The sequence below is a fragment of the Homo sapiens genome, chromosome 11 (genome assembly GCF_000001405.40).
Source record: "Homo sapiens chromosome 11, GRCh38.p14 Primary Assembly".
NCBI lineage: Eukaryota > Metazoa > Chordata > Mammalia > Primates > Hominidae > Homo > Homo sapiens.
In genome coordinates, this window is record NC_000011.10 from 48,165,088 (window position 1) to 48,176,437 (window position 11,350).

The 11,350-nt window shown below is 44.3% G+C and overlaps 1 protein-coding gene across 2 annotated transcripts in view; it reads left to right on the forward strand.

Moving 5' to 3' along the window:
- Positions 1-5,752, forward strand: part of PTPRJ (protein tyrosine phosphatase receptor type J) — a 190,281-nt gene extending 184,529 nt beyond the window's left edge. For both annotated transcript variants that reach the window (NM_002843.4, XM_017018085.2), the window contains exon 25: positions 2,117-5,752. In NM_002843.4, the coding sequence (NP_002834.3) occupies positions 2,117-2,275 (159 nt within the window). In that variant the 3' untranslated portion in view covers positions 2,276-5,752. The remainder of the gene's footprint in view (positions 1-2,116) is intronic.

The following is an 11,350-nucleotide window of genomic DNA, read 5'->3' on the forward strand; positions in this document are numbered from 1 at the left end:
TCTGACTCATTAAATAATCTTAGGACATCTTTGAACTTTGGCTTCCAGGTTTTAAACTCATAAAACTGGTATTTTCCAGTCTTTGTTTCTAAGAAGGTCTGACCATCTTTAAAATAAGCTAATGAAACAAACTCATCAAACATTAATGATGTGACATATCATAATGCTGCTTAAATGTTAATACAGCAATTTATCCTCACCCAGACTTGTACATTTTAAAGACTATCAATTATCATAGCTACAGAAGGGTGGCTGACCAGCGGAGAAAAGGAACACTTAATATCTATGGTATAGTTTCTGTACTACTGCTGGATTTGGTTTTACCCAAACTGTTACTGAGAAGTGTTTTTGAGGCATGTTTTCAACAGAACATATTGCAAAGTTGCTTTCCTCAAAGGGGTGAATGTTCCTTGACCAGGATGAGAGCAGAATATTAATTTTGTATCAGGCTATCGTCCTGTACCGATTTAGAACTCTATGAATATGTGCTGTGTTTTTGAGTCTAGCAGGGAATGTTCTAGATGCCTGGGTACATTGCGTGCTCTGGGGTGAGCTTGGTGGTTGTTGTGGAAAGAGTGAAATTCAACTCCTGTGTTGGTCAAAAGAGAGATTTTCTTTTTTCTGCTATAATTATATAAAGTAGTATTTCTCAATCTTTTATCCTTTTTTGAGAAACATAGAACTCTTATCCCTGCTACTAGAGTCTAATCTCTTTTTTATATTTTGAAAACAATACTTATTCATATGAAAGCATTTGACAATATATTTTTCTCTCCTCTTTTTTTTTTTTTTGAGACGGAGACTTGCTCTGTCACCGGGCTGGATTGCAGTGGTGCGATCTCGGCTCACTGCAACCTCTGCCTCCTGGGTTCAAGCGATTCCCCTGCCTCAGCCTCCCAAGTAGCTGGGACTACAGGCGTGTGCCACCATGCCCAGCTAATTTTTTTTTTGTATTTTAGTAGAGATGGGGTTTCACCATGTTGGCCAGGATGGTCTCGATCTCCTGACCTCATGATCCGCCCGCCTCGGCCTCCCAAATTGCTGGGATTACAGGTGTGAGCCACCGTGCCTGGCCTCAATATATTTTTCTCTTACTCTTCCTTCCCCAATCCTGCTTCCTGGAGGTAGCCAATGTTTATAGTTTGGTGTACATCTTTATAAGACTCTTTATGTACATCTGTAAACACACACACACACACACGCACACACAGTACTTTGAAAAAATTGGATGCTGTTTTTTTTTTGAGATGGAGTCTTGCTCTGTTGCCCAGGCTGGAGTGCAGTGGTGCCATCTCAGCTCACTGAAACCTCAACCTCCTGGGTTCCAGCGATTCTCCTGCCTCAGCCTCCTGAGTAGCTGGGATTACAGGTGTGTGCCACCACGCCCAGCAAATTTTTGTATTTTTAGTAGAGACGGGGTTTCACCATGTTGGCCAGGCTGATCTCGCACTCCTAACCTGAGCCGATCTACCTGTCTTGGCCTCCCCAAAGTGCTGGGATTACAGACAGGAGCCACCGCGCCTGGCCAGATCCTGTTTTATGTATGTTGCTTCTCTGTGATTTTTTTTCTCCTCTTATAATATCATGGATATTTTTCTGTGTCAGCTTATACCCTTGTTTCCTCTTTTCTTCATCACTATCCACAGATTCTGATATACCTACCTGAAGGATAGTCCTCATCCAGCTCCACCTGATCATCTCCTTTTAACCTCGCTCCTCGGTTGAGCATTACAGTTGATTCTTACTCTGTACAGTCTCACTAGCCAAGGCAATCTTGTTGGACATTTGATTGTTCGAATGTGTGTGTGCATTTTTTCCTCTACATTTCCTCCTTCCTTTGCCCTTCCCTGAGACTGTGGCATTTTTCCTTGGGGAGGGGAGGTGTGGAGTGTGCTCTTCTGGTTGAGAATCATTGAGGAAGGACATCTTGCTTCTGTGATTTCAGATTTCACTGCAATGTTGTTACCTCTTGAAACATGTTCGCTTGAACCGTTTGCTGTTGGGTGGATGGGGTTTGGGAGTTGGGCGGGGGAATGACCTGTTTGAAAATAATTTTGGGTGCTAATTTCTGGGACCCATGTTCATTTTCTGTCTCTCTCTTTCGTTTTTCTATCAGGACCAGTATGTTTTCCTCAATCAGTGTGTTTTGGATATTGTCAGATCCCAGAAAGACTCAAAAGTAGATCTTATCTACCAGAACACAACTGCAATGACAATCTATGAAAACCTTGCGCCCGTGACCACATTTGGAAAGACCAATGGTTACATCGCCTAATTCCAAAGGAATAACCTTTCTGGAGTGAACCAGACCGTCGCACCCACAGCGAAGGCACATGCCCCGATGTCGACATGTTTTTATATGTCTAATATCTTAATTCTTTGTTCTGTTTTGTGAGAACTAATTTTGAGGGCATGAAGCTGCATATGATAGATGACAAATTGGGGCTGTCGGGGGCTGTGGATGGGTGGGGAGCAAATCATCTGCATTCCTGATGACCAATGGGATGAGGTCACTTTTTTTTTTTTTCCCCCTTGAGGATTGTGGAAAACCAGGAAAAGGGAGCTATGATTTTTTTTTCCAAAACAATTTCTTTTTTAAAAAAGACTATTTTATATGATTCACATGCTAAAGCCAGGATTGTGTTGGGTTGAATATATTTTAAGTATCAGAGGTCTATTTTTACCTACTGTGTCTTGGAATCTAGCCGATGGAAAATACCTAATTGTGGATGATGATTGCGCAGGGAGGGGTACGTGGCACCTCTTCCGAATGGGTTTTCTATTTGAACATGTGCCTTTTCTGAATTATGCTTCCACAGGCAAAACTCAGTAGAGATCTATATTTTTGTACTGAATCTCATAATTGGAATATACGGAATATTTAAACAGTAGCTTAGCATCAGAGGTTTGCTTCCTCAGTAACATTTCTGTTCTCATTTGATCAGGGGAGGCCTCTTTGCCCCGACTCCGCTTCCCCTGCCCCCTGTACATTTGTGCTCCATTTTTTCTTCCCTTTTCCCTCCCAGTTTTCTCCAAAGACTCTTCTGTTGGCAACATTTTCAACCCATTGGTTGGGTGAGAATGGCGACTCAAATATCACCTTGAGAATTTCTGTGGGTGGGAATGGGAGAAGCAGAGGAATCCTACAGTGGCAGAAATCCTTTTCTTGTCCCTGTATTATCCTTTTTCTCATGTCTGTATTTGGTATGAAGGATTATTTAAAGGTGCAATATGTGAATTAGTGATTCATGATGTTCTAGGTTTTTAGTAACGTTTTACTCAGGTTGGCATTTTATGTGTCTGTGTCTGTATGTGTGTGTGTATGTTCAGAAGCGTGGCAATCTGTGAACACTTCAGCGTGAATTCAGTGTCAGATTAATCCCTCCTTCCCCAAAGTCCACTGGCTTTCGTCTCTCTCTGCCGTGACACATATCGGAATCTACTGTGTATATATATATATATATATATATATATATATATATATATATATATATACACTAAGCTCTCAAAAACAGTCATTCCTATGAATTGAGGTGTACAAAGTTTGAATTTGTATCAAAGATGTAATTATTATTTTTAAAACCTTTTCACTATACTGCTGCTGTAATTACTTTGATTTTTAAAATGTAGATTAATTTTTTTTTTTTTGCTTCAGGTGTGTATCCACCAAGAATTTCAAATTTATGTGGATTTATTTTATTGGTACATAATCTGTAAACTTCTTAAGGCATTAACATGAAAAGATTTTTTCTTTTTATTTTATATTGTGGCTCAGGTTATATTTTGAAGATGTTTTGAGTTTATCCTCCAATAGGCAATGAAGTTGACAAGGTTTTATGAAGGAATAACCAAGTCCCTGGAGTCCTGTGGCTGTTGCCACAGTAATGTGTCCTGCTGTAAACAGGACAGGTGTGTCCTGTTGAGAATGTGAGCGGGCTCTTCCAGCCTCCTGGTCCCTCCTGACTCTGCCACGCCCCTCACCTCACTGGCACTTCGATAACTGACTGGACGTGTTAATGGGTCTTTTAGGGTTCTAAAGGGTGAACCACACTTTTAAAGCCCCGGCTGTGGTTCGGAGGGTTAGTGCTGTATGCCTTTTATTTCCCTTTCCCTTTGAGGTACTGAAAGGATGAAAAGGTGGTGTCATGTTTTGGGGAGAATCTTACTTCTCAAATGGAAATTGCACTTTTTGCTGAATCCTTTGCATTTTTTTGGTAGTAAGCAGTTCATTGAGTATCAGGTCCTCAAAGGAATGAGTTGGCCCGGCTAGGGTGGGCCCTCTTGACCTAACTTCAGAGGGGGCCTTGGCTCAGTAGGTGTGAATCAGGGAAGCCACATTGTCCTCAGGGTGCTGTATGAAGCTGGGTGTGGGCGGATTCCTCCCACACCTTCACACTGGCCTGCCTCCAACTCATACAGATCTCGGAGCGGTCGGTACTTCATTCATAGGTCCCTGTTCAGGCAGCAGTTCTGTGGGCTGTGGCCCTCTCCCCTCCAATATGTCCGAAACCATTGTGATGGGTGGCAAATCCCAGGGAGCTCCTAAGCCCTGCTCTGCCCACATCACTGCCACAGAGAAGTCAGAGGAAGGGACTTGTTGCTAAAAAATCCTTTAAAAGGTTAAATACTTTAAAAGATTAAAGCAACATAACTGTAAACATATTGTATAAAAATGAAAAACACAGGAACCCTCTTCCCTTCCGCCTGGTGTGGGCTTGGGAAATGGGCAAGCGGCCCCAGCAATCATGGGAGGAACTCTTGCGGGGGAGCGGTCTGGGATTCCAAATGGGCAGGTCACACGAAGGTCACGATGCTTCTCTGCATCCTGAAAAGGGCTGGGGACAGGGCCAGTGGGGGTGGTAAGGGTATTTATAGCACAGTGCTTGAAAAGGGAAGATTAATGTGTAAATATAAAGGACACACAGGCTGGGGGTTGGTCAGAGGCAAGAGGAGGGTGCCTCTGAGCTTCAACCCCTCCCAGGAACAATGAGCTCAAATTGGAAGAGTCCAGTGGAATCGGGGGGATGGTGTGAGCACCCCTGTTCAGTCTTTGACAATTGCATACAGAAAAGCAGCTGGTATGGGTTTGGGTGTCAATGAAAGGGCCAAAGACTGGTGGCCAGCTGGTTTGGGGGATTTGGGCCATTGATAGCATCTCCCAGGAACAACGACTTTTTGCCTCCAAAGTTGGATCTAGTGATGATCAGCACCAGCAGGAAATGACATTTGGTGTCTGCCCACTGCAGCCATACTGTGACCTCCAGCCAGACTTCCGCCTAATTGACTCCACTGGATTTGTGCTCTGTTGAGTCAGAGGCTCCCGGGGGTTGGGGATCGAGGGGCGGGGGTCAGCTATGCAGCCCATCACGTGTGTTTTTCATCTGGGATGAAAAAGCCTGGTTCTCTTTTGAAATGCTTGATTGTACTTATTGAGCTAAACAAGTCTTGGTGACTGTTGTTGATTTGCCTCAAAAGTTTTAAGTCCTGGGTTTTCAGACTACTGTGTAGCAGCTGTGTGTTTAACATACTGTAGCTTTTTCTCCCTTGGGGGCACATACAAATAGGATGTGTTGATGTGGACTCTAAACTGTAATTTTCCTGTAACTATTTTGGAATGATGCATATTTCTAATGTTTGTTATACTTGTACAGAGTATTGCTGTTGGTTGCTTTTTTTTTTTTTAAGGAAAAAATGGCCTGAAAACATTTTTTTAAAGACTTACAAATACCAAATATAAAAAAATGTCAATGCATTATGCCTTTGCTTCTTTCTTTCTTCTTTTTTCCTTCTTACAATGTGCCAAGCAGTTTACTGGCCTGCATTTTACTTGGGCATCCTTAACAAAAACACATTTCTCTTTGGGATTTCCGGATTGTTTTAGTTTTCTAGGGCTGTTGTAACAAGTACCACCAACTGGTGGTTTAAACAGCAGAGATTTACTTCCTACAATTTTGGTGGCTGAAATCCAGATGTGGGCAGGGTTGGTTTCCTGTGAGGCCTTTTTTTTTTTTCTTTTTTTGAGACAGAGTCTCACTCTGTTGCTCAGAGTGGAGTGCAGAGGCGTGATCTCAGCTCACTGCAACCTCTGCCTCCTGGGTTCAAGCAGTTCTCCTGCCCCAGCCTTCAGGCGCCTCTCTTCGTAGCTTGCAGATGGCTGTCTTCTCCCCATGCCTCCACATGGTCTTCCCTCTGCTTGTCTGTGTCCTAATCTCCTTCTTTTTTTTTTTTTTTTGAGATGGAGCCTTGTTCTGTCGCCCAGGCTGGAGTGCAGTGGCATGATCTTGGCTCACTGCAACCTCTGCTTCTCGGGCTCAAGCGATTCTCCTGCCTCAACCTCCCGAGTAGTTGGGACTACAGGTGCCTGCCACCACACCCAGCTAATTTTTTTGTATTTTTAATAGAGACAGGGTTTCACCATGTTGGTCAGGCTGGTGTCGAACTCCTGACCTCGTGATCCACCCGCCTTGTCCTCCCAAAGTGCTGGGATTACAGGCGTGAGCCACCGCTCCCGGCTAATCTTATAAGGACACGAGTCATACTGGATCAGGGCCCACCCTATTGACCTAATTTTACCTTAATTACCTCTTCAAAGACACTCCAAATGTAGTCAAATTCTGTTTTAGTGGGGGTTAGGACTTGACCATATGAGTTTTGGAAGGGACCCAGTTCAGCCTGTAACACATATTCAGGGCAATTTAGTGAAGAGGAGGCTTGGAGGAAGTGGCTGTGTGTCTTAAGATTGTGTGTGTTCCCAGAAGGTTGGAGGTATGAGCCTGCAGGTGGATGGATACCCAGTTGGTTGGGGGTGTGTTATGATATAGTTAGCTCTCCTGGGCTTTCTGCTTAGGGACAGCGCTTGGGCTGCGGATAAAGTATCCATCATCTTCCTGTTTTGATTCAGGCCAAAGTTGTCCCAGAACTTTTCTGCCCACAGTGTTGGTTTAGAGGAGGCAGGGAGACACTGTATTGCTGACCTGTTATCTGCATACTTAAAAAAAAAACAAACCAAACTAGGCTACCCTGCAAAATAGCACAGCATTCTCTGCTCCTAGCACTTAGTTTGATAAAAACTACCTTACCCAGGTATAGCCTAGGAATTGAGATATTGTGGGAAAGAAAAACCGAATGATCACCTGTGGTTTTATAAAATGTAAAGCTTAAGTGAGAAAACAAATTCATAGAACTATAAACAGAGAACAATCCCAATAAGAATTAAATAAGTGCATAGAAGAAAAGAAACACAACTCTAGAATAATATAATAGTGGGATTAGGAGTGGATTTTATTTTTATATTCACCTGTTTATAGTTTCTAACTTCTCCCAATGAATATGGAGTACTTAAGAGTAACTAGTTTAAAACTTAGCACTTTTCCCTCCTTGCCTCAAAAAAGTGAAGCTACAGTATAGTTTTAAATTTACTAGTCAAGTTACAAAATTCTTTTTTTTTTTTTTTTTTTTTTTTTGGAGACAGAGTCTCGCTCTGTCACCCAGGCTGGAGTGCAGTGGCACGATCTTGGCTCACTGCAAGCTCCGCCTCCCAGGTTCACGCCATTCTCCTGCCTCAGCCTCCCTAGTAGCTGGGATTACAGGCGCCCGCCACCATGCCCGGCTAATTTTTTTGTATTTTTAGTAGAGATGGGGTTTCACCGTGTTAGCCAGGATGGTCTCCATCTCCTGACCTTGTGATCCGCCCGCCTCGGCCTCCCAAAGTGCTGGGATTACAGGCGTGAGCCACGACGCCCGGCCAAGCTTCCAAGTTCTGATAGCCATCCCATCCCTTCTGGGGTTTCACAGCTCTATTTGGGGCTGAACGTGGCAGATCTCTGGGGCCTCCAACATGAGAGCCTGGGCTTTACATTCCTGCAGGCAGGTGAAGCCTCCTGACCCAAAAGGTGAGTAGTGGGCCCCTGTTGGGGCCAGCAGTTTTGGATGATGCCACTAGATGGCGGCAGAGAACTGGGCTGTGGAAGCAATCCTTGGCTAGGCTGTGGCAGGGCAGTGGAGCACATAGGATTGGAAAAGAAACCAGGAGGTCCGTAAGGCAAGGCTAAAAACCAGCAACAGGGCGAAGGAAGCGCCCTTGCCAGCAGCTGGCAGCTTTCCGTATAATTTGTTAGATAATATGTTCATGGTAAAAAAATTTAGGAAAAGAAGGAAAATAAAAAAATCCTATGTTGTCACCATTCAACAAGATGTCCCCCAATAATCCTCCCGCCTGGTATTCACATTTTTGTGTAGCCCCTCCTCCACTGTAGCAGGGTTGGTCTGTGTGACTGGTAGATTGCAGAGAGGTGATGGCATCCCACTTCTGAGATAAAACTGTGCAGTTTCTCTCTCGCTGTCTCTCTCCCTCCAGCCCCCCTCCCACGGCACTCTCTCCAAAACCAGCTGGCATGTTCTGAGCAGCCTTGAGAGAGGCCCACGTGGTGGGCTTCTTCTGAACCTCCTGCCAACAGCTACATGAGTGGGCCTGGAAGCAGATTCTCAGGTCAGCCTTTGGATGACAGTAGCCCTGGCCGACAGCTTGACTGCAGCCTCCTGGGAGACCCCAAGCCAGAACCTACCCAGACTCCCTGACTTGCAGAAAGCATCTGAGATGATAAATGTTTACTGTTTCAAACTGCTCTGTTTTGGGATAATTTGTTACACAGCAAGAGATAACTAATATGGGCTAATATATCCCACCACATAGGAAATACCACTGTTAACATTTTACTGTAAATAATTCTGTAACCTTTAGAATTCTCACAAACACCACACACACACACCCCCCATATGTGCACACATGCATACATCTTCATCTTCATGTATTTGCTTTCATCTTTTTGCAAAACTGGAATCAAACATGTTCATATTTCTTTTTAAGATTAACATATTTCTTTGAGTAATATTTCTACTGAAGCGTAATACAGACAGAAAAATGCACTAATCATAGGTTGGCTGTTTGAATAATTGTCCAAAAATGAACACACCCATATAACCAGCACCCAAATTAAAAAGTATATACGACCAGCATGCCATAAGCCACCTTGGTGCCCCCTTTCAGCCACACCCTGGCAAAGCTAACCACTATCCTGGCTGCTAACCTTTTAAGTTGGTTCTGTGCTCAATTTTTTGAAACTTGCTTCTTTTTTAAAATTAAAAATTTTTATTTTTAGAGACGAGGTCTCACTCTGTCATGCAGGCTGCAGTGCAGTGGCACTGTAATGGCTCACCGTAGCCTCAGACTCCTGGACTCAAGTGATCCTCTCACCTCAGCCTCCTGAGTAGCTGGGACTACAGGTGCGTGCCACCACACCTGGCTAATGAAACTTGCTTTTTTTTTTTTTGAGACAGAGTTTCGCTCTTGTCACCCAGGCTGGAGTGCGATGGTATGATCTTGGCTCACTGCAACCTCTGCCTTCCGGGTTCAAGCAATTCTTCTGTCTCAGCCTCCCAAGTACCTGGGACTATAGGCATGTGCCACCATGCCTGGCTAATTTTTTTGTATTTTTAGCAAAGACAGCGTTTCACTGTGTTGGCCATGCTGGTCTTGAACTCTTGACCTCAGGTGATCCGCCCACCTCAGCCTCCCAAAGTGTTGGGATTACAGGCCTGAGCCACCGTGCCTGGCTGAAACTTGCTTTTTATACTTGACATATTGTGAACTCTTTCTGTGTTATTAGGTATTCATCCTGTTCACCATTTTAAGAGCTGCATAATACTCCATAGTATGGACACATACCACTCTCGAGTTAACTACTCTTTTATTGATTGCCATTAGATTATTTCTGATTTTACTCTCCTGTGAATAAGGATGTGGCATCTATCACAGTAGCCAGATCTTTGCAGACATCACAATTAATTTCTTAGTAAACTTTTCTATAAAATTAATGAATCGAAATATATAAAAAGGTAGGGCTTTAGGCTGGTCGTGGTGGCTGATGCCTGTAATTCCAGCACTTTGGGAGGCCAAGGCAGGTGGATTGCCTGAGCTCAGGAGTTTGAGACCAGCCTGGGCAACAAGGCAAAACGTCATCTCTACCAAAAAATACAAAAAATTAGCCGAGTGTGGTGGCACATGCATGTTGTCCCAGTTGCTTGGGAGGCTGAAGTGGGGGGGATCACTTGAGCCTGGGAGGCAGGTTGTGCCAAGATTGTGTCACTGCACTCTAACTTGGGTGACAGAGTGAGATCCTATCTCAAAAAAGAAAAAAAGGTAACGCTTAGATGAAATTCTGCTAAATTTTTCTCTAGATAGCAATTTACACTCTCATTATAGTGTGTGAGAATGCCTGTTTCTTTACAGCTTCATCCACAATGAACATTATAATAATGAACACCCCGCCCCCCTCCTTTTGTAACTTGAATAGGCAAATGAAAAAGAAGCAAACTGTGCTAGGCCTTTCTTGGATTGCTGTAAAGAAACACCACCTGAGACTGTTTAATTGATAAAGAAAAGAGGTTTTAGTTTGGCTCATGGCTCTGCAGGCTATACAGGAAGTGTGGTGCTGGCATCTGCTTCTAGTGAGGGCCTCAGGAAGCTACAATCACGGAGGAGGGTGACCGGGAGCCAGCATGTCACATGGCAAGGGCAGGAGCAAGAAAGAGAGGGTGACAGATGGGGGGACGTGTCACATGCTATTAAACAACCAGATCTTGCGTGAACTCGGAGGGAAAACTCGCACTTCACCAAGGGGATGGCTGTGAGCCATTCACAAGGGATTCGTCCCTATGATTGGAGCACTTCCCACCAGGCCCCATCTCCAACACTGGGAATTATATTTCTTCCTTTTTTTTTTTCTTTGAGGCGGAGTCTCCCTCTTTTGCCCAGCCTGGAGTGCTGTGGCGCGATCTCGGCTCATCACAACCTCCGCCTCCTGGGTTCAAGTGATTCTCTTGCCTCAGCCTCCTGAGTAGCTGGGATTACAGGCTCCCACTACCATGCCCAGCTAATTTTTGTATTTTTAGTAGAGATGGGGTTTCACCGTGTTGGCCAGGCTGGCCTCAAACTCCCGACCTCAAGTCATCTGCCCATCTTGGCCTCTCAAAGTTTGTGATTACAGGTGTGAGCCACCATGCCCAGGAGGAATTACATTTCAACGTGAGGTTTGGAGGGGACAAACATCCAAACAATATCACAAACTCAAAACTTCTGGGAGCCTTTATATGGAGTTGGGAGCACCGGTTCGAGTCTCCCACTTAGTGAGGGCCACACATCCAGGATCTAAGGAATTCTGTCCTGTGTTTCCACAGCTGCAGTCTTGGGTGTGAGACCAGGTGTCATATCAGGAGACCAATTTTGTTATGTCAAAATTGCATGCTCAGGGGTCATGGTTGTGTCTTGGACAACCTGATCCAGACTCATAGG